General features: G+C 48.2%; 1 protein-coding gene across 6 annotated transcripts in view, besides 2 other annotated features; it reads left to right on the top strand.

Annotated features, from left to right (window-relative positions):
- Nucleotides 1-23,418, top strand: part of RPS6KA2 (ribosomal protein S6 kinase A2) — a 453,410-nt gene that overhangs the window by 85,324 nt on the left and 344,668 nt on the right. Inside the window, exons 1-2 of one of the 6 annotated variants that reach the window (XM_047419233.1) lie at nucleotides 6,339-6,441; nucleotides 6,537-6,587. The exons of 3 other annotated variants lie outside the window; for them this stretch is intronic. In XM_047419233.1, the coding sequence (XP_047275189.1) occupies nucleotides 6,400-6,441; nucleotides 6,537-6,587 (93 nt within the window). In that variant the 5' untranslated portion in view covers nucleotides 6,339-6,399. Of the gene's footprint in view, nucleotides 1-6,338; nucleotides 6,442-6,536; nucleotides 6,588-19,543; nucleotides 19,924-23,418 lie in introns of those variants that run through there. 2 more of the 6 variants (NM_001318936.2, XM_047419234.1) reach the window with 2 other exon arrangements.
- Nucleotides 5,478-6,677: an enhancer, noted in NCBI's record as "BRD4-independent group 4 enhancer chr6:167184261-167185460 (GRCh37/hg19 assembly coordinates)". NCBI's record gives its function as "activates an origin of replication core promoter dependent on BRD2, P300/CBP, MED14 and CDK7 cofactors, and independent of BRD4, by STARR-seq in HCT116 cells {active_cell/tissue: HCT116}" and the evidence as "EXISTENCE:reporter gene assay evidence [ECO:0000049][PMID:35650434]".
- Nucleotides 10,216-11,003: an enhancer, noted in NCBI's record as "H3K27ac-H3K4me1 hESC enhancer chr6:167179935-167180722 (GRCh37/hg19 assembly coordinates)". NCBI's record gives its function as "activates a minimal SCP1, AML or CMV promoter by ChIP-STARR-seq in naive H9 embryonic stem cells {active_cell/tissue: H9 hESC(naive)}" and the evidence as "EXISTENCE:reporter gene assay evidence [ECO:0000049][PMID:30033119]".

The following is a 23,418-nucleotide window of genomic DNA, read 5'->3' as shown; positions in this document are numbered from 1 at the left end:
AGGCCACTTCCTCTCTCTGTGCTTTCCCCGTGGCTCAGTTTCAGGTGGTCCCTTCAGCGGAGTTCTGGGTTTGTGACTTAGGCATGTTCCTGGCACCAGACCAGCTGTCACATTAAACTTCACCCTGAGCCACCCTTGTCATTATGAATTCACACCCAAACTCATGGAAGGCACAGGCCTGGCATTTTTAATTATCAGAGAAGACGTAAAATCCATGTATTGTTAACCTGAGCCCAGGACAAGTTCGATGTCTCCCGTCCTCTTCTCAGCTGGTCGGGGCTTTCGTCCAGGCTTTGCGCTCCCTGCTCAGGCCTCCCGCAGCAACCTCAGGTCCAGCTCTTCACCTCACAGCCGCCCCATCCTCCTTCCCTGTATCTCCAGCATATTAAAACCCAAGCTTGAACAACAAAAAGACCACCAGCCCAATGAAAAAATGGGTGATGGGCTTAAGTAGACATTTCTCCAAAAGAGAACTACAAATGGCGGAGAAGCACATGAAAGGCTGCGGCTGACCCCCTCCTAGGTATGTACCCAAGATTGTTGAAAACAGGTACTGAAACAAAAATACGCACACACTTGTTTATAGCAGCACAACTCACAGTCGCCAAAAGATAAGAGACAGCCCACATGTCCATCAATGGATGAATGGACGCACAAACTGTGGTGTAAACAAACAATGGCATGTTATGTAGCCACTAAAGGGAAGGAAGCGTTGACACACCCTGCAACATGGACGAACCTCGAGCACATCATGCAGAGCAAAAGAAGCCAGACCCAGAAGACCCCACGCTGTGCGGTTCTGTCTATACCAAATGCCCAGAGCAGGTGAACCCACAGAGACGGCACGGATTGCTGGTTGCCAGGGACTGGGAGGGCAGAGTGGGGAGCAACTGCTTCATGGGCGTGGAAGAGGCAGATGTTGGGAATTACCTGGTGACACGTCAGTGTGAATGCACTAAACGCCACCTCATCATTCATGTTAAAACGATCAATTTTGTTGTGTGAAATTCACCTCGATATAAAAAAAATTAAAACACAAAAACAAGAAATCTAACCTGGAAGATTACAGAAACGGAAAATGCCCCCAGGACGGTCTCAAAGTCAGTGCGGGGACTCCATTCTCTCTCTTCCAGTCCTCCTCATTTCTGGAGCCTGTGGGTTAATCCTTCCTTCTTACAACTCAGCTTTTCGTTGAACCTCCTTTTTTGTTGTGTTTTATCCACCACTTCTAGTGGGTGTAGCGAGATCATTCTCTGTCATTTCTGCCTGGCGTCTTGCTGGAAGTAGAAGTCCTCTAAGCTGTACTTTCTCCACGTATTTTTGCATGGACCTGGCCCCCAGAGCCGGATGGTAGAGGAAAGAGTGGTGAGCGCCCCAGCCTCCTCTCCAGCACCGCTGTGGCTGGGGAGAGGCACACACCCTCAGTGGCTTTCACAACCACCCTTCCCAGTGATCAGATAAAGCCAGCAATGCCCGCCCTCACTTCCAGTTCTGGCCCTCCACGCGTGTCTGTCTTCCTGACTGTCCACAGTGGTTCCTCCATCGCGAGGACATTATCCTTTGTGTTGTGTAGTCCTCTCTGTGCGCCTTTGCCTGCGCTCAGTCTCTGCCCCTTCGCAGTTCCGAGCTCCAGCCGTGGAATCCCAGAGCTCAGGCATGTGGGTCGACAGCATCGTCATGTGTCTGTGTGTGTTTCCACCGCGCTTTATCTAGAGAAGATCCCCGGGCTGCAGCCCTGAAGCCAGCAAGCGTCTGAAAGAGACGGTTTCTTGGCTGATGCTGCAGCCTCAGGTAGCTGATACTTCAGAACTGACAGAAATCCAAATAAAGCTGGCAGGTGTGGGGAGAGCTGAGCACCAGCGGAGGGAGAGTCGGGGGTCATGGAAACCAAATTCAGCCTTCCTACAACGTGGACCCTGTGTAAATTAGCATTTTTCTTCTTCCAGGAGCACATCAGTAAGATTAAAGAAAACCAAGGCCTATATTTTGTTTGTTATAACAAAATGTAACAAGTTTCCAGGATTTCATTGGCTGCACGCGCCTCGGAGTGTTCTCACTTGCTGTGTCCTCTGCTGCCATCTAGTGGTAGACGTGCAAATTTGCGAGGGAAACTTTTGGGCACTTAGAGACTCCCCCAAAACCAAAGGTGGAGCTCCTGAGGGCTGTGCATAGTGCGAAGGGGCCGGGGGTGGGGGGGGCTTTCAATGAGTGTGTATTTTTTGGAGGAAGGGCCCAGGGTGTTTATCAAAGCCATCAAAGCCATTTAAGAATCAAGACTGCCCCCCAAAGTCTGGGTAAAACCGTTTTAAATTAACCATTTTGGTAACTCCCACGTGATTTCAAAATGGTAAAATCGTAAAATTGGTTGTGTAGCCTAATTAAGTATAAGAAACGGAACTCTGATGATGCTGAGCGCAGGTGCAGGCTGGGCAGGTCACATTATCCTGTGTAAAAATATCCGCAGTGCCACCTGCCGTTTCTCCTCTGCCCTCCCAACCCTAAAAGCTGGAAGACGGGGCTCATCCAAAATAAAGGACAGCTCAGAGCTATTGAAGCACCTGGGGATCCGACTCCTCAGAGGTCACAGACAAGAAGCACACATGCCAGCGTTCTCAAAGAAGGGCGAGATGTTTTGGGGTCCTTTATGCTGCTGTAATCTGGGAACGCCTTAATTTTCCCCACATCGTCATCATGCTGATGTTCACTGATGGCTGCTGTCTGCTGGGAGCCCAATATGGGCCAGCTCATTTCTTTCTCCCACCACCCCTGTGTAAGGGACTGTCTTCCTCAATTGTACAAACAGGGAAATTGGGGCTGAGGAGTCCAATGACTTGCCTAAGTTCTGGTGCCAGGAAATAAACCCTGGCTGGCTGCTTGGGAGGCTGAGCTCCCTACCATGGTCCGTAGCATCTTGGGAGAGCTTAGCCACGTGGTGCTGGGATGGGTGCAGCAGCAGCAGGGACAGTCACAGCATTCTCAAAGACCCAGAATAACCAACGCCGGGACGCTCGCTGGGTAAAGACGGCTGCACCACTCCAGCCACAGCACCACTTGAAAGTGTCCAATTTTCTAGAATCCCATGCACTAATTTCACTGAGAAATTCATAGCTGATATCGAGTCTATCAACTGCCTGACCATGACTGTCTAAATGTGTCTTTTGAGGAACGTGCACAATCTTCAAGACATTCTGTCATCTGGTAAGCAGGGGTGCTGTGAGCACACGGAACACCTTTTGTGTTATAAAATTTGGCTGGCAGCTTTACTTGCAGTCCAATCATAAAAGACCCCTGAGGATCAAATGAATCTTGGTCATCCAGACTATGACCCCAAGTGCCGTGAAAGCGATGGTGCCTGCCTTTCACATTTCTCCCACAACACTGGGTCACTTTCTAGACTTAAAAAAAAAGATTCAATCCATATTTTTTTCCAAAAGGTTGGCGAGTATTTGTTTAGAAATTTCTGATAGTTTATTTCAAATCAATGAAACACACAAAAATATTTGTCTGACCACGTCCATTTATTTTCTGCAAGCATGCTTGGCTATATGACAAGTGTCCTCTTCACGGAATACCCCTGGAGGACGATCATTTGCACAAAGCGTTTTATGTCATCTCAACGGTAGTTTTTTTTTCTTCCTGGTGGAGCTAGCCATGATGATAATAAATTCATGTTAAACGTATTTTGACGATAATGTGGTCACAGGTATGTAACAGGATGGACAGACGAGGAAGGGGACAGTAGCAGATTGCAGCCAGGTGCAGTGGCTCACGCCTGTAATCCCAGTGTTTCGGGAGGCCAAAGCAGGCAGATCACCTGAGGTCAGGAGTTCCAGACCAGCCTGGCCAATGGTGAAACCCTGTCTCCGCTAAAAACACAAAAATTAGCTGGGTGTGGTGGTGGGCGCCTGTAATCCCAGCTACTCACGAGGCTGAGGCAGGAGAATCACTGGAACCTGGGGGGCAGAGGTTGCAGTGAGCCAAGACTGCACTACTGTACTCCACCCTGGGTGACACAGCGAGACTCCACCTCAAAAACAACAAAACAAAACAAAACAAAAAAAAACGAAAAGAAAGAAAAGAAAAGTGGATTGCTTCAGGAGTCAGGATTTCCTGTGGGGGCTCTGACTCCCCTGTGATGGAAAGCCCCTCATTAGGGCACACTGGGCTTTCCTGTGACCCCTCTTCCCCCTCTCCTCACCCCCTTCCCTGCCTCCTTCTCCAACCTGCACAGTCACAGATGCTTCAGGGGAGGAGATGGGATCCGTAAGGGGAGTCCTCTCCTCTCGTGTCCTGGATCGGAAAGGAGTAGTAGAGGAGCTGGGATTTCCTTCTGGAGCTGGAAGCTGCCCCTGTTCTCTGCCCACACAGGGTTGACCCAGACGTGGAGCCCGCACAGCAGGCTGACCATGGTGTAGAGAGGATGGGTGTGGGGGCCAGTTTGGAGGAAGAGAAGGGGTGGAGGTGGGAGGGATAGCGTGGCTGCAGAGTGGCTGGAGAATCCTCATTTAATGTCCAAGTCATTCCAGATTCCCCTGTTTAATTCAGGGGAGTTAACAACATTCTTAATGTTGTTTGCAAAGAAGAGAGTCCAGGAAGTGAGAAGGGAAAGACAGTCAGTGATTCTAAACAAGACAATATGAAAAATTTAGTAATGTGTCTTTTTATGAGGGACCCCAAGCACCGCATACCCTGGATGCACAGTCTCAGGTGTGTCCCGACAGCCGGGCTTAGTAGCGCCATCTGTGGGGCACTTCCTTTGAAAAGCTGGTTGCCCTGAGAGTAGGTCATGGAGTGGAATGAGGTGATAGGCGAAGGCACAACATTGCGGCACATTTGGGATTTTCATGCTATTAGGTATTTTTCTGTAAAAGCGTCATTTATGTTCCACCGGGTCTCACCATCTTTTTCAAGTTATAGAAACAGAATCAAACCTTCTTAAAATTGGCAATTTGTTGGCTCACACCATTGAAAGAGATGGTTTCTGGTGGGTCTGAATCCCAGCGTCCGAAGCTGTCGGCAGGACACTGAATTTCTCTTCCTCCTTGCTCGACTCCATTCTCAGGCAGGCACATTTCCAAGGCAGAGCAAGCACAAACCCCAGACTTAGGTCATCTGCCAGGCTGGCCATCCCAGGACAAGGGGGCTGACAGCTCTGAGGGAGCCCTGCTAGGGCCTTTCTCCCAGTGGTGGGGGGGCTGGGGGGTGGGGTCATTCCCACCTGGACTCCATGGAACTAGTGTCCCATAGAAAGAAAGGGAGTGCTTGCCAGGAGGGGAGAAGGGCTGCTGGGTAGAAACCCCACATAGGCTCACCATACATGCCCAGTACAATACAAACAGGTACATAAATGGCAAAAACAAGTGGTAAAGTCAGCATTAGCAACTGTATTCTTGCCAGTTATTAATTACCGTCCAGTTGGGAACATAAAACAAACAGAGCTATGATTCTCACCTCGATAAACCGGCCGCTCATCAGCTGTGTTGGAGGACAGAGGAGGTGTAGGCTGAGGCGAGAATGGGCACCCGCAGTGCAGGGGTTTCTCTCAGGGAAGAATCGCTGGACCCCTTTCCTCATGGCACACTCGGGAGAAGCCAGCCCCAAAGCTGTGCTCACTCGTGACAACCGAGGGCCATGTGAGGCAGCAGAGGCCGCTGGCATCTCCTGTTAGCCTCATTTCATTTAGATGGTGATTCCAACGCTCTGTCTTCTGACACTTGAACCGCAGTCATCAGTAGGGGCAAAGGAGATTTCATTTGAATTCTGGCTTCTTCCTTCATCTCTTATATTTCAGTGGGTATGAGCCAAGGAACAGAGAACAGAAGAGAAATGTGGCAGGAAAAGGCTAAAGGAGAAAGTAGGAAATGGAAATGTGGCCCCTGCATCACTGAACGTGCCGCAGTAAGGGTAGCCGTTGTCTCTGCTCTCAGCAGTCCTAAAACCACGTTGCTGAGTAAAATCTTCAGGTCACCTCCAAACCATGCTGGCCAAAAAGAGGCTTGGGAAGAAGAAAGGCCTCCTAGACACACGCGCTTCCGGGTTTAAGCCCTGGACCAAGCACGATTGGAATTTTAACTAGGTGTATGCGAGCGTATTACAGATGAAGATGAAATCTACAGATTAAAATAGCTGGAATGAGCCTCTTCCATAGACTAGAGTTTAGAGTCACCTGAAAGCATTTGCCTGCTCGTCACTGATGCGTGGCTTGGAAGATAAATGCTGTGCATATGGAGCTTGAAAGAGACTTTCTTTCCGTTGAGCTTTGAGGTTGGTGATGGGACACCATCACTTCCTTTGGCTAAATTTTAAAAGTTGCACAAAAGTCGCAAGTTCCTTTCTTCTGTAGGCTTTCACTAAAGGGCTTCCTGAACGCGAAAGAAACTCCTCCAATTACTTAAAATTATGTGGAGATTAATGTTTAGAAACAAAAAGCTCACAGGCCTGGTGAGTATGGTAGTAATGCCCTTGCTAATGAAGTTGCTGACTGTAAATACGTCCTGTGACTTAAAGGAATTCTTTCTTCGTTTCCATTTTCACAGGGCAAAAGTGACTCAGCTGCCTGCAAGACAAAGGTAGCTGGATCCGTAGAGGTAAGAAGCGTTCCTGTGGGTTTGTTTTTTTCCATGCTTATGTGAGTTACATTTTTTTTTTAAGTTAAACATGAAGTCTTTTTCAATTTATTGAGTTGTTTCACGGTGCCCGGAGTCCAGCAAGGCAAGGTGCGAAGAGCTTTTAGAAGGCTGGACCACTCCACAGGAAAATGTGAATTTTTTGGCATCCTGTGGGGAATCCGAGTGCTTTGTGCAGTAATGTCCTTGTACAGCAGGGGCTGCCTTGCGTGCTAAACTGAGGATGTCATCTTGCCATGCATTATGATTTGAGTTTGATTCTGAATCTCTGCATCACTTTATGTCCAATATTCCTTTTAAAACTACGACGTGCCTTCAAAATAAGCTGAAATTACCAGCGGCAGAAGGGAGCCATGGCAGCGAGGCAAACGTGGGGGTGCTGAAGCTGCCTGGGGCTGTGTCTGCCCTCGAGGTTTGCAGGCTGGTGGCCGACCAGCCTCCAGACTCTAGTGCGTGTGGCTCAGCAACAGCTTTTCTAGGAATTAGGACTAAAATAGATAATTTTAGATGGAGGTAGATTTCTCCTATTTCAAGCATCTATCTGGTTTTAATACCTTTATTAATAAGACATTTTTAAAGATAGTTTAATAGCTGTTTTCAATGCTTTGGGCTGCAACACTCAGGTGAAATGTAGTAAGTCGGTAGTCACGCCACATGTGGTTGTGACACCATGGGATTGATCATCCTTGGGGCCGCGCCTCTGCAGCGGTCACAGCAGGCTAGATGGGCCTGCTCCTTGTAGGTGCCAAACGGGTCATTGGAAGTTGGTTTCTGGTTGAGCTTATGTTCATCTACATTGATACGTTAAACTGCGCTGTAGTTCATTTGAAACAAAAATACTCCTGATTTTCTGGCAGCTTTCCTGAAGCTAAAAAGCAAAAATATAATAAGGTTAAAAAGGTCTTATGAGAACAGCATGAGCTCTGCCACAGGGGTCTTGCTGGGCAGTGGGTGGCCCTCGGAGCTGCCCAGGGAGGGCACTGCACAAGGATGCGGCCGCCTTTTCTCAGCCCCGTCGCTGGGGCCTGCAAGTCCCTGATGGGAGAGGCTGAGTCCCACCTGGTTTTAGGTGGTCCCAAATCCTGGAAGAGAGGTCCCTACTGCATTCCATTGCCCACAATGCTTGACATTTGAATTCCACTGTTTTACTTTTTCCATACTTGTGGTACTACTATCTGGGTCTGAACGCATTTTGCATGAATTAAGTTTCCTTATTGGACGTGGAACTTGTGTTTTGAACTGTATGGTTGATGGAGGCCATGCAAAGGTGAGGGGTGGGCACACAGAATCTCAAGCTGGTTCTGACTATTTCAGTTAAGGGGTTAAGCAAATGCCTGAATCCCAGTTTGGATTACATCCTAACTTAAATCAACTCAGCAAACAAGGTCTGCTGGAGTTGGAGGAACACCGTCTTCTATTCCTTTCTCATAATCTCTTGTCAGTCTGTTCCATAATCTGTCCAAGAAAAAAAGAGTCAAGCTGTAATTGGTGATTCTTAGCGAAACTTGACGTGGCTTTATCCAAATGTGTGATGAACTGTGTTTCTTGGCAAATGAAAAAGTTTTATTATTATCTGTATCATCCCAATCCACACCTAGCCTGGGCACTCCAAATAAAGATGATGCGTTCCAATACTGGGTGTTTCTCCTCTCTTGGTCATAGCAGTGAACATTGGGCCAATGGCACAGCCATTGGTCTGGTGGGTGCTGCACAGAGTTCAGGGCCAGGGTAGGGTGTGGGTGCCCTTGGAGAGTCGTTCCTTCCTAAATCAACAGCCAGGCCGGCACAGGCATTAACCGTAAGTTGCCATAGTTGGAACTGGAAAGTGTTCCCAGGAAAGCGGCTGTTTCTGCCAGGACCCTGTGTCCAGTCACATCCTAGGGTCAAAGCATGGGAGAACCCCCGGAGCCATGTGGCCACAGGGTCTCTGTGGGCTGAGGGCCAGCAAAATCCCCTCCACTGCCTTTAGGCCCGGAGTAGGTTAAACTCCTGGCAGTGTTTCCAGATTCACCTTGAATTTGATAGGCGGGAACCCCGTAGGTTCAGGATGAAAAAAGCAAATCAGATCTCACACAGCGTCACCCGGGAGCAGCCCAGAAGTCTGAAAAGGTAGGAAGGCAGCAGTGATTGCCAAGTGAAGGCTTTAACTCTCCCTCTGCTGATCATTCTGGTTTTGTTTTGTTTTGTTTTCCTCTCTCTCTCCCTCCCTACTCACCTCTCTCTGTACATATTTTTTAAAAGACTCTACAAAAGTTGATGTTCAACAGATTGTTATACCAGTCTCCTGCTGAAACTCCTAACACAGACTCAGCCTCTGAAGCAGAGGCAGCTGCCCCTGCCGCTTGGCTAAGGAACATTGGGCCGCTCACCAGGATGGTCCCAGAAGCGTGGGTGGCACTAACACAGCGGTCAGCGTCTTTCATGGATTTTGCCTAATAAGTCCTGCAAGGTGCCTCTAGTTTCACAGCTAATTGTATGTCCTCTTTCTCCATCATGATTTCACTCTTTATTTATTTGCCTTTATAAAAAAATCACTTTTAGAAAAGACACAAAGGAGGTTCCAGTTCCAAGGGGAGGATGTTTTCTTTTGTCCATACCCAACCTCAACCAGAACGGGGGGAGCTTGTCCAGGGCCACTGCTGCCCGCTGAGGCCCTCTCTGGGTTTCCTCCTCTTTCTTCCCTTTTCTTATGGCTTTGAAGTGAACACACATGCCCTGTTTTATAGAGCTGCATTGATCCATCATCTGTCGATTGGGTGGGACTTGAACAAAGAAAAAGTAATTGTTTCTCAGATTTCCTGGTATTGGAAGGACAGAAATGTGAGCACTCTTGTTATGGTGCAGTGGTGGCCAAGGTAGCGATTTTACATGTGGGGACACAGAGGCAGACTCCACAGTCGTGGAAAAATAAAACCCCCAAGGTTTGCACCCAAACAGTGAGAGCAGGCTCTGCCATGGTTAGCAATCCCCGCACACACTCTGTGGTGGCCGGCTGCCTGACACCAGGGTGTGTGTGTGTGTGTGTGTGTGTGTGTGTGTGTGTGTGTGTTTGAGGAGGTATTGTCTTTAGTTCTTAATAATTTGGGAAACAATATGTTCTTTTGTCAGGTAACCTGATATGCAAATAAAATAATGAGGTGACCCAAACTCAGTCCTTTGCAAAGCAACTTAGGGAGCTGCAGTGCGGGGGCTAAGCCTGGAACATTGTGGACGCTCAACACATTCTGGCCGAATGTTCACCCTTCCTGGGTCCCTTTGAGGCTTGCTGGCAAGTGGAGCGCAGTCTGAAGGGCTCCTGGGTGACAGCAGCAGCCCTCAGCTGAGTCACAAAATTAATTTTCCAAGTAGGATCCTGAAGGGAGCGCGAGCTGGCTTCTCTGTCCTTTTTGTCTTCCTCTAACCACGCTTTCACCTCTGGACCGCATTGATCTGGAGCACATTGATCCGCGCGGCCTTTGTGGTCTTGGTTAGAGGAGTGATTTTTCTGTTTTCCTCTGTCTTTTTCATCAAATCGTTCCGTGCCTCTGCCTTGCAAGCTGAAGCGTGTGAGACGGTAGTCGCAGTTGTATTTTGCTTTTTGATGGCGTTGCTCATGGGGAGGTGATAGGCGACATTAAAAACTGGGCAGAGTCTAGGGGATAAAATACAAAAGTCTGGTTCTTCAGTCTGTTTTCAGAGACAAAAATTCCATGGTGGAGCTGGCTTTTCCCACAGGTAGCTGAGCCCTTCCTCTTTGCTAGGGCAGCCCCCAGGTAAGGAAGGGACCTTCATTCACTCTCGTGGCGGTGAGTTGGTGCAGACTTCTGGGTGCAGCAGGGTTCGGGGGTGGGGAGGCACATTCTTTGGACTTGTAAACAAAGGCGAGGGAGGAGAGGCACGTTAGGCCCACAGGGCCACGCAGCTGGGTCCAGACACTGTGGGGCGAGTAGGGTGCCAAGGGAAGCTTCCAGAACAGGGGTGGCAGCAAAAGGAAATACCAGCAGCTAAAAAGGAGCACCTCGCAACCTCTGTGCTTCTGCGTTCCAGCCCCAAACAACCGCTGAAGAGACAAATTCTGTTTCATTCCTGTAGTTACTTGAGTCACTGGGTGGGCTTTCAAAATCTGTGCATTGCACTTCAGCAGAAAATAGTGCTGTAGTCAGAATTAGAATTTGAGCTAGAAAAATCCTTTGATTGAGGCCATACTTATAAATGTCTTTTTGGGATAGCTGGAGAAAAATCATTAATTTTAGGGGAAAAAACAGTACATCAAAGTTTTATCATATTCAGCTATAGCCCACCTCCTAACTCCCACAGAAACAGGCAAGATTTTTAGAAAAAGCTTGAAAGGAAAACACACATACACACAAATCCAAAAATTACCAAGGCTTTTCATTAAGTTGTACAATTATATGTATTTTTTCTTTTCTTCATTTTTAAAATAATTTCCAAAGAAATCTATATTACTGGTACAATAATTATATTTGAAAATTAAATATAATTGAAGTTATAGGCCTAAAGTTAAGGCTCAGCTTATCCTAAAAAATTTTTAAATAGCACTATACTCACTGGGTGATGATATGATACAGATTTAAGTTATTCAATATATCTTGGGTTTAGTAACATGGATAAGTGTTGTCTCTCAGGCAATTTCACCAATTGAAGGTATCCTCTATTCAGTGACATGAAAAGAAATATTCAATCCATTAATCAAACAAGTCACTGCCACTTACCAATGCAACCCCAAAGACGTCATCATGATAATTACACACCTCAGGCTACCCAAAGGGAATGTTTTGTTTGGAATTTGTAATTCACCCTGAGAATTTCTCATATCGTAATCACAGCCATTATGATATTGACCTTCAGTGAACTAGAAAGCGGGAAGTGTTTTGTTCCTAACAGGCTGGAGGACTGTGTCAGCGTGAAGGGAGTGTATACTCAACCTCCCTTCCCCTGTTCAGAAAAGCTGGTAGTCGCTGAGTGCCTGCCATTGCCCCAGCCAATTCTTCATAATCACTGTTTCTTTATATTACTGTGAGTATTGCCATCTTACAGATGAGGAGATGAAGCCTAAAACACCTTAAGTCGATTGCTCAGCTGTGCATGTAAAATGTGATGCTTAGCCCCACGCCTTTCAAAAAAGTAAGATGCTCTTTGAATTCTCTTCTTTAAATGCCAGCTCCACATCTTACACCTTCTACACCACTTTAAGCCAGCACTTTCTACATCGAGGTCTCAGAAAATAAGAGCTATAGGGAATGATGGTTATCCTTTATAATCTACGAAAAGTTAAACAAAGTCGTTTTCTTGTTATTACTGCAGGATTTATTGAGCCTCTATGTCTTGGAGCACACTGCGCCCGTCCCTGAGCTGCGGATGCAATAAGGAACCTATGTCACCCCACACTAAGCGGGCAGCAGGGATCTTGGAGGTGGGAGCAGGTGCGGGGGCCATGGCTAAGGAGGGCTGGCTGTGCTCGTGGCCGTGGGTCGTCACCACGCGTCCCGGAGCATCCTCTACTTGAGGGCCGGTGTGCTGGACGCACCTGCTGACCTGCAGCCCTGGAAACATCTGGGAGCTTCTCATGGCACTTGGCTTTGTGGAGTCCAGCGTCAGGAGCACTGTTTATGAGTCCAGAGATGCTGCACACACTACCCATGCTGGCTGGCCACGTGGAGGCTCACTCCAGGACTGTGGCTCTCTTCATGTGGCCTAACTTCTGGGTCCTTTCCTTGTTCAGCGTGGTGGCTGTTCCTCCTGCCACCTGCCCTGGAGCTGGCAGGGAGGAGAAAGCCCCAGGCTGGAGCTGAGAGACCCAGGCGGGGTCACCCCATTGGCCGTTTGGTGTTGGGAAGGTCATGCCACCTCCGTGGACATATGATGAGAGGACAGAACTCGGTAGAGATAACGTCAAGGCTGCCAAAGTGCTTTGTCGTTCCTGCATATGTGTGTTGATACACATGTGTGTGAACACACACACGTTGTGTAGTGTGTAAATGTGTGAAATACGTAACATGTGACTGTAGCACGTGTTTACGCAGGTGCTTGCGTGGCTGTAGGTGTCACCGCGGTGGCCGCTGTCCCAGTCCCTGTGGCGCGTCTTCCTCCCGTTGTCAGGGGTTGCGGGCTCATGGCTGCAGGCTCCTTGTGGTTTGTTTTTCACAGAGTGAGGGCACCCGGCTGTGCCTGGGGAAGTGCAGCCACACTCAATGTGGTCAGTGACAGGGACCCTGACCCCTTCCCAACCCCCTGCTCCTTGCCCCACTCTGCTTCCCCATCTAGGCCTGCGGCATGGCCTCCTCCAGCAACCACCCCTGCCCGCCTTCTCACTGTGGCTGGATTTCACTCCTTCAGCTTCATTGAGCTGCCTTGTGAGGAGGGAAGCGCGGGCCCCGTGTTGTTAGACCTGATCCCCGCGTTCCAGCACCTCCTCAGAGCTTGCCGTTCTCGACACCTTCCTTTAGGAAGCACCCTGCTCCTCGGCCACCCTGGGCAGAGCCTCCCACTCTTCCTCCCGCCTCACAGTCTTCCTTTTCACGCGCCCCCTGGTGTCCTTCCCTCTGCCCATCACTAAAATGTCGCTGGCCTTAAATGACCCTGACCACACTGTGCCGGGCGATCCCAGGGGTCTTCCCAGCTCTGAGCTGGGGCTCAGCCTCATTTCTCTCACCCTCTCACTCACGCCCTCCCCAGTGGGAGTGGAGTCCCAGCACCGCGTGGTCCTCAGAGCCGGCAGCGATGCAAGGCACAGGGCACTCAGAAGCCCCGCACATGGCAATTCCTCACGCTCACAACTCCCCAAACACTTCGCATTCTTTCTAGCCGAACAACAAGAACCCTAACAGAAGCTGCTTTACAGCAGGTCATGGACAGTGTTGTGTCTGCCACACAATTCAGCATTTGGTGACGGACATAGACAAGGCCGGCCGTGCCGTCATGGATCTGAAAACAATCTTTAAAGGACTGCTGGGTGCACCCCTCTTTCTCGAGGTACACGGACAGGCACAGCTCTGGTTTTGCTGGGATCGTTTGCAGTTGGTTATTATCATGGGGCCCTTGGGACTTGATCTGTAACAGCGAACTAACAAGGTCGTCGCCGTTCATCCGTGTGGTGCCTCACTACTTACGAAACGCCTTTTCTCAATGCTCTTATCTGTACAGGGAGGAGGTAAAGAAATTGACAGCTCTTTCTTAATTAACTTTTGGTTTCCAAGGTTGTTCCCCCAAGGAAATCCAAGGTTCCCTTCCTTGCTCCTGTTTTTGCTTTGCTTTTCTTTGGTAAATCGTTATAGAATACTCAGTATGTTCTAAGCACCTTGCAATGTGAACTCATTTGACCCTCAACAACCAGATGAAGTAGTCACTCTCATTGCCGCTCTCTCCCATTTTACAGATAAGAGCATGGAGGCAATTAAGTTGTACCAGGTGACACAGCCAAGTAGGGGAGTCATGGATTTGAACCGAGCCATGTGGCTTTAGGGTCTTAACTGTGATTCTATGATGCAGACATTTGCTGAAATCAAAGATAATTTACTCTTGCAGTTTATTTTGTGGAAATAATATTTTTCCATTTTCTTAATGTAACCCTTTAATGACTCCAAAAGAATTTAAAATTATTCTTGGCTTTGCTTTTTCCATGCTAAGCGAATGCCATCTAACAGGCTTCAGCTAAGTCTGGAAACCAAACCTGTAAGGCAGGAAATGTGGTTCCTTCTGTGATCCTGATACTACTGCTAGGACTTCTCAGTTACTGGGTCCCAAATATTTTTAGCTTAAGACTCTGTTGGAAATGTAATAACAATAAATCACAGACCCCACCTTGTAGTAGCTATATTTTTGCTATCCACGCATTGAGGAGAGCTGCTGAAACCATCAATGCCTTCCAAAGGAAACTGAACTTTATTCATGCTTGCAGCTGTTATCACAGAAGCATGTGAAACCGTTTCTTTGACCTACGGAGAGTCACCTATGTACCTGTGTTTCCACCTGTGCTCTGCAGTAGCCTCGGTGCCCACAGGCCTCAAATCTCGTGGTGCAAGGCTCAGGGTCATGGCTTGCTCCGCTTTCCTTGTTGGCTCCCAGAAGTCGGGGCAGAAGTGAAGGTCGTTTCCTGGGAGTGGACAGGATGGGAAGGTGCTATTCTTTCTCCGTGGAGCTGTTGATTTATTTACCTGTGAACTGGGAGCAAACAGGACTTTCATGTGAGGCTGAGTCTCTCAGGGACCGTGGTGCACAGCAGGTTGTAACCCTGGTGCCGGCTTACAGCCCAGTGCGAGATCCTGTGTGATTCGAGATCAGCTGCGTAAGGGAAAATGAGGCCAGTTTCCCAAGATACTTTCACTTAAGAACATGACTTTACACACTCCATGTGCCAGGGACTACGCCAGGTGCCGTGGGGGAATTTGAACTTCATATTCCGTCCTCCGTTTAACATGCACACACACACACATATGCGCATAGACATACAAACACACACACGCACACTGCATGAACACACACATGCATACCAATTGCTTTGAACGGTGCTAAGGTTGAGCTGACATGGCTGAGCGGTAAAGAGAGGCCATGATTCGGTTTTGCGTCTGAGGGAGAATGTGGTAAAATGTGGGGAGACTGAGGGAGGGGAGGACGCAGGGACACCACTGTCCTAGTGCCTGGGATGTGTGGCCTCTTTGGGCCTCAGTTTCCTTTTGGTGAAACCAGTACCTAAGGTTTCTGCCACTTGTCTTGGTCCAGGTGGGACAGACCATGTACCTCTGTGGTGACACCAGGGCCTCCACGTGATAGAGCCTGCTTCTCACTCCTGTCTGCAAGGCTTCTTTTCCATGAGGTCACAGGCAGGGTTATCCTCGGCCACTTTCTGGGAGGTCCAGGGGGCTGGGAGACGAGGCTGCCCCATCTGGAGCTTTACCCTCCCTGGGCTCTTTGTTCTCGCCATGAGACTGGGGTGCAGGGGATAACTTGCGCCTTCAACGCTGCCTCAAATGCGAGGAGACACTTCCCTTCCACTCCATTCCCAATGGGGAGGACACAGCCGTGCGGTCCCACCTTCCTATCTCCCCGGGGCCTAGGAAGGGGAAAGGTACAACTCACTCCCAGTGATGTCTTCAACACAGGCTAAAATCATCCGTCTGATTCTCTATGGGTCCAAAGATATGGAAGTGAACTACTAGGTTTTTCAGAGGAAGACACAAAATATTGCTTCCAGGCTGAGACGCTGATGGTCTAATGGAAACACGAAACAGATGCTTTCCGCTGTGTCGTGGTTGTTTATTCTTTGGGCTGAATTGTGTGAGCGTTTTGGTTCTGCTGCTGGAAGGTGGATGCTCACCTGTCAACAATAGCAATGCTTTTAAAGCCATAGCCAATACACAGTAATAGCTGCTTTTCACCAATTAGCCAGAGATGTTTTCAAAATAATGTCTTTAAAAATGTATTTGGTAGATGAGTAAGCCAAGATTGTTATGATGATTTCCCCATGGCATAAAATAAAAGGCAGCCAGGTGTGGTGGCTCATGCCTGTAATCCCAGCACTTTGGGAGGCTGAGGCGGGCAGATCACTTGAGGTCAGGAGTTCGAGACCAGCCCGGGCAACATGGTGAAATCCTGTCTCTACAAAAAATACAAAATTTAGCCGGGTGCGGTGGCTACTTAAGAGGCTAAAATACAACAATTGCTTGAACCCGGGAGGCGGAGGTTGCAGTGAGCCGAGATCGCACCACTGCACTCCAGCCTGGGCAACAGAGCAAGACTCGGTCTCAGAAATGAATAAAAGGCAATTTCTTGCCATCATCACCACGACAACATTCAGTTCGCAAACTCACATCCACCTGCAATTAAATGCCATTAAGAATGAAGGGTTTCCATTGCAAACCCACTAGCTCTCACATGACCACCATTTAGCCAGAGACCAAAGGCCTGATTTATTTTGCTAATGCACTTTCAAAAGTACCAAGTCCTGGAAAATTTCCTTTTAATTCTTATGGAAGTTTGGATTGAATTGTATTTAGGATAACTGTAAATACAGATACCAAAACCCAAATGACTGTAGGTGAGGATTATTCGGACCCTTTGTGCCTCCATTTCCCCCATCCGATTCTTCTTTCCCCAACTCAGTATCCATGCACGTTGCCATCAGGTTGGAAATGGGAAGAGGGATTGCCAGTGAGCAGGCTATTTCAAGCGATTCCAGCAAAATATGTGGTGCAGGAAAGATGAGCATTTTTGGCCGAGCCATTTTCAAGCTTTCCGTGGCTTGCACTGATCTAACCTATGCTAGTTTCCTGTTGCCAGGAGCGATAGAATCAACCTGGAGTCCTCACAGTCTCAAACCAGACCGCGATGGGGGTGGGGGCGGTGCCCACATACTCTGTGCGATGATCTTATCACTTTGACATTCAGTAGATCGCTTTGGTGAGTTCATCTTCGATGTAGTTCAATTGCTTTGCTTGACTTGGGTATTTTTCCTTTGGAGATTAGACCAGCTCAATATATCCTCGAAAGAAGATGTTTATACAATTGTAAACACAATTTCTTAAGAAGCCTTTCACTTTTACTCTGTGTGCAAAATTACCTAAGGAAATATTTGTTCACCAGAATGAGCCCACCTTCCTCTCTCCAAATCGCCATTCCCCAGGTGCCCCTGATTTGCCTAAGCTGGGAACATTGCCCTACATGAGCTACGCATCTTTGCCAACCGAATGAATAGGTTACAGATAGCCAAAAGAAACCTTCCGTTTTTATTCCTGTGTATTTGAAACAATACCAGGGCCCCAACACCACACCCTCAAACAAAAATTTAGTAAAAATTTCTAAATCTCAATCAAGCCTGAATACTACATATTTTAAAATTAAAACAAAGTATTTGTGAAGGACCACAGAGTTAAGTTTTCAGGAAAATATTTTATATTGTCCTCCTTCGACACTCAGAAATCCCCTGCAGTAGGGCTTCACCAAGCACAAACCTCTCTGTACAATGGTGGGAACGGCGCTGCGTTGACCGCTGGGCGAGGATACGGACTCGGCTGCGGCTGTGTCTTCCGCAGGAGCTGAGGCTGCAGCCAGCGGTAGACGGTATGAGAAGACGCCAGCAGTGTGTTTCCAGGAAGCAGGAGTGCCTATTTCTGTGAAAGGCTGCACATATATTTTAAGATCCAGCATTTTCAAAGAGGTGAAATGTGGATGTGGATTCATTTTGGAGAAAAGAAATAGAACTGGGATTGTTTTAAAGCTCCTGATGATTTCACAGAGAGAAGTCAAGGCTGAAACACACCAGCAGTGCTGAGACTCACATAAAATCACAGAGACGAAATTTCGTGAGACTAGAAAGAGCCTTATTTTCTATTAATCTCCCCGTGTTATTATTTTGGGCCAGCAAAAGTAGCAAAAGGTAATTGAGAAATTTTGGAAGACAGAGGCATTTTCTTCTGTTGCCATAACTTGGCCTGTGAACAAACCGTGCTCTATTCTCAAAGTAACAGCTCAGAAGTGTGACCGTTCTGCTTAGAAGTAATATTTGCCAACGGCTCCAGAATAGAAAAAAATGTGTATATAATGGCAGATGTATGGCATGTGTTTCTAAAAATGTTACATTATAGGTTCTTAATAAAGTTCCCATAGTGGAAAGTAGGGTTAATAAAAATGATCCCTTAGAAAGTCCCTCTGAAGGACTGACCAAAGCTCCTTTCAGTTGTTATTTACCTGAAGTATGTATGTATCTGTGTAGACGCAGACCTGCACACACAGGCACACACATGTGCACACACACACACACACGAATGCAACATTGACCTGGATAAATGAGTTTTAATCAGCTCTGCATTCAAGGGAAAGAACATACGCCATGTGTGCTCTGGAAGCCACGAAATGGGTGAAAAGTTGTTTTGGTAGAACCCATTTCCTGAAATAGCAACCACTGGAGAAAGGACGATTGCACTTCAACTATTTCTGTCTGATTGGGAAGGAAATATTCTTTATCTCAATGTCTTGGAGTAAGGAAGGGATGGACAGGGCCCCGTCTTTTAGCAATGCACTACCCTAAATCAAGGTCATTTCTGTCCATTTCAGTCTTAAATTTCCTCTTTGCCTTTGCTTCCTTCTTTTCAAGTCCTGTGTTTTTATATCTGTTTATTTCCACACCTGCATCCTTAGCCGTGGCCTCTATTGTCTGTCACCTCGAAGGCGATTGTCAGTTGGTAGGTCTCTTCTGTTGCATCTGTAGGTTTTCAGAGGAGAAAGCTATTTATGTATTAACAAGAAGCTATACCAGTAAACAAAGGAAACTCCGCCAGTGTCCTGGGTCTGACTCTGAACCTGCCGCCTGTACTCAGCAGCTGCCAATCACACGGAGCCCTGGACGCTTCTGGCAGAACCAAGGCAGGGCTCCATGGCAAGTGAAAGCAAGAAAGGGGCTGATGTTCTGGAAACATGGGAATTCAGTTTTGATCAGGAAAACAAAGCAAATGTTTATGTTAGCCAGAGAGGACATATTCCGAGTTAGCCCGGGAAAAGCTTGTAGAGAGAACGTGCATGCATGTGCACGTGCCTGTGTCTCTGGGGCGGAGGCATCATCTGGAGGGGTAATACAGGGTGATGACATCCTCGCACCCTTGGTGTGCATTCACTGACCCAGCGCCACCTAAAGAAATAAGCAACCATTTTCATTCACCTTCCTCCTACGCCTGCCTCCTCCTTTCAGTTTAAATGACACAGAGAAGGACCGAAGTGTCTTTTCATGCACTGCTAAGGCACGTTGCCAGCCTGGCTGTGGGCAAGTGGGGGCAGGTGTGCGTTGAGGAGGACCTCAGGCCTGCCCCTCAGAGTGTCTTTGATGGTTTCTGACATTTGATTGCCTCTAAGTGACGCTTCTGCTTTGCCGGCTTCTGCCAGATGTTGTGTTCCAGCCTGCTGGGATTCGGAGCAGCATGAGTAACTTCGCATTCTCATCAGAGGAGAAGGCCAGCCTCGGGGCTGAGGTTTTCTCAGCTTCTCTCCTTTGCTTCTGAGTTTGCAAAGCGGGGGTTTTGTCTGCAGCCAGAGTTTTTTCAACTCACAGCTGGTGCCTGTGAGGGGCAGGACTCCCGGCTTGGGAATCTGTGGCTGCCTGGAGAGGGGTGAGGGGAGGGAAGAGGAGGTGTGCGGGGTGGCTGCCTGGTGACGAGGACGGGCGCAGCAGCCCACAAGGTGATAAAAGGAGTGGCGGCTGCCCTGGCAGAATGGCTGGACGGCAAGGGGAGCCCGGCCCCCGGGACCTGGGGAGTGCATCATGATGATCAGGCTGCCACACAAGAAGCTGCAGAGACTGTTCCTCAGAAAGGTAAGGGAGGGCTCGCAGGAAATGGGGGTCCCAGGGAGCTTGGCAGTTTTTATTTACTGCTGGGAAATCACGGGTGTGACAGAGCTTGGGCGGCCAGGGGCAAGCTGTTTTCTGGGCGGAGTGGAATCTCACAGATCATGAACACAGGTCTCGGAGCGGTGCCAAGAGCAGGTCCTCATGTCTGGCTGAAGTTTGCCTTGTTTTTAATTTATCTTGTGTTTGAGGGTGTGTTTGAGCCCAAGAAAACTTAATGTTTCTGTTCCCAAGTGTATTTTCACAACTGAGGGGAAGGGTGTCCGTAATTTTTCTGCAAGTGCAGAAGCAAAGGGGAGAAAATATGACAAAGCTGACGTTTATTTTTACTGTTACTAAAAGGTAAAGTTTTGGGTGAAGAGAACCAACTCTTCAAGAGCTAGCAGTTTGCCCTTTAAAAAATTGTTTCTGCTTTTTTTTATGTGATGGTGAAATGTGCGTAAGATTTTTCAGTTTTAACCATTTTTAAGTGCACAGTTCAGCGGCATTAAGTATATTCACATTGGGCAGCCACCACCACCGCCATCTCCGCGACGTTTTCATCATCCCAAACTGAAGCTCTGTTCCCATTAAACACTCCTCATTCCTCCCACCCTTGAGGTTGCCCATTTTATTTTACTATTTATTTTTATTTTATTTTATTTTTTGAGACGGAGTTTCGCTGTTGTTGCCTAGGCTGGAGTGCAATGGCGCCATCTCGGCTCACCACAACCTCCGCCTCCCGGGTTCAAGCAGTTCTCCTGCCTCAGCCCCCTAAGTAGCTGGGATTACAGGCATGCGCCACCATGCCTGGCTAATTTTGTATTTTAGTAGAGATGGGGTTTCTCCATGTTGGTCAGGTTGGTCTCGAACTCCTGACCTCAGGTGATCCACCCACCTTGGCCTCCCAAAGAGGTGGGATTACAGGTGTGAGCCGCCACACCCAGCCGAGATTGCCCATTTTTAAGTGAGTTAACCCAAACGTGTTTATAATCATATGTAATCAGAGTGCATCAGATTAGGATCCAAACCAGGTCATGCTAATTGCTCCTACAATCTGTTGAGAAATTGCTGTTAAGTGTAACTCATGTAATTCTTTTTAAAAAGAAAAAATATGAAATACAGTGTTCTAGAAATCACTGACAGACCCATGGGTATGACATTATTTTGAAAGAAAATCTGTGACTTTCCAACTGTGTGCACATTTTGTTTTTGGTTTTTTTTTGAGACGGAGTCTCGCTCTGTTGCCCAGGCTGGAGTGCAGTGGTGCGATCTCGGCTCACTGCAAGCTCTGCCTCCTGGGTTCACGCCATTCTCCTGCCTCACCCTCCCGAGTAGCTGGGACTACAGGCTCCTGCCACCACGCCTGGCTAATTTTTTGTATTTTTAGTAGAGACAGGGTTTCACCGTGTTAGCCAGGATGGTCTCCATCTCCTGACCTCATGATCCACCCGCCTCGGCCACAGAATATAATTTTAAGGAATATTTATATTTTATTTTGAAATTACTCCTGAAATAATATTATTTTAAATAATTATATAATGTGAATGAAAGTTGTTTACTTCAACTTTTGGAATTAAGAAAACTGAGCATAAAGAAAACAAGTGGCTTATCCACACGTGACAAGCACAGACAGGTCTCTAAGTGTGAATTCCAGCTCCTTACCCAGCTCAGCCCTGAGTCCGTTACATCTTGACATCAGCTTCTCATGCAGTTGTTTGCTCTGATTTAAATAAAGTCACATCAGTGGGGGTATTTCCTTACCGACACCCCGTCTTACGTCCGAAAGATGTCAGTAAACTTACCTATATTCCATACAAGGCTAAGCTAATCCATAAGTGCGTTTGTTTAGGTGAAGGAAAGGAGGAGGTAGGAAGCTGGGCCGGAGCGCAGCAGCCATGGTGCGTGTCGAAAGGACCCCCAGCCCTGCGGAAGGTGGGCCTGGGTGTGATTCTGAGATTGCTGGATTCTCAAGGAGTGGAGCGCAGCAGGGCAGACTGGAAACATAAAAACAAAACAAGCAAAATAAATAAATAAATAAATAAACCCCAGTTGTGTAGGTAAACACATCTCTTTCTGTTCCGAGCCCTGTAAGAAACATCTCCTGCTGGTTCTCCTGGAGAGTTCACCGTATAAAGGAGTGAACACCCTGAACAGAATGCATCTAGGAGGCCCAATGCATCTCTTCATAAGGTTTTTGCCATGCCCGGGGTTGTAGGCTGGGGCGGTAAGGCTAAAACGGAAAGCAGAGAAAGCACTCCTACTGGGAATCCACACTGCAGAGACCAGCAAGCTGCCCTTGGAAGATCTGCCTTTACCCCAGGGGCCATCTGAGGCCACCTAGAAGTATGCGTGGATGCAAACCTCCAAGCCACCCTTCACGGCTTTGGCTGAGGAATCATACATTTGTTGGAATTCAGTGGCCCTGGGTCTGGGCTCCTTGACAAGCACAGGATTATAGATTTTCTGTGTTCCAGGTTACGAGGAGGGGCTCGTGGAATCTGGAAGCTGGAAGGGGTCATTGAAATCACAGAGCCCAACCCCTTCATTGCACACATGAGGAGGCTGAGGCCGAGAGTTGAGATTCCTGACCCAAGTTCACCCTGTGACGAGTGAGCGACAGGGCAGGGCCTGAACCCGCCGCCCTGGGCACCCATCTCAGAGCCCTTCCCTGAGACCACAATGGTCAAACATGGCATTGGGAGGGTGCAGCACACCAGCCTGAGGACTGGGAAAGGGACCTCTACCTGTCTACACTAACCAGGCCTTGTCATTTTCCGCATCTGATGCTTTGACATTGGTGGGGAGCAGGGGGAGGCTTGCTGGCCCTGGAGAGGCTGCTCCCCCAGGGTTTCTAATTCCCAGACACAGCAGGCAACTCACCCAGGAGTGCACTTTTCAAATGCAAACCAGAGCCCACCCCCACCACCTCCTTTATGGACTCTCACGCTCTGGGCCACATCCTCCTGCCCTAATCCTCCCAGGGCCCAGTACCAGCCAGCGAGGGCAACCCCCTGTGCAGCAGGGCCCACGGGAACTGCCCTTACCAACCAGTCCCATGCAGGCTCACCCTGGCTCACCTGTTCCTTCCCTGGAAGCCACGTGAAAGGCCCCTGCCCACACGTTCCTGCACCCCTCTGCCTCCAGACAGGCTCAGTGCATCCCTGAGTGGTCCCCAGGGCTTGGCCCCCTCTCTTGGGATCTGTGAGTAACAAACTCTCTTTTCGCTGACAGTTGTCTCCTGACCTGTTGCCCTGCCACACCTGAATAATAATAGAGCCTAAGTTTTAAAACACTGTCAGTTGTTTTTAAAACTGGTAGCTTTTGTGTATTCAAGATTCTTCCAACATACATGATGTGGGAAATGCAAAAATAGGTGAGAATTGTGCCTGAGAAACCGTTCCAGGCACTGAGGCGGTCCTAGGCAGTCATCACTGCATGCACCTCGGGCCTCAGGGAGACTGAGGTCTTGTGTGGCTGGGG

Source organism: Homo sapiens, chromosome 6 (genome assembly GCF_000001405.40).
Source record: "Homo sapiens chromosome 6, GRCh38.p14 Primary Assembly".
In the NCBI taxonomy this organism is placed as follows: Eukaryota; Metazoa; Chordata; class Mammalia; order Primates; family Hominidae; genus Homo; species Homo sapiens.
Note: the sequence above shows the minus strand (reverse complement) of the source record. Positions and strands in the feature narration are given on the sequence as shown.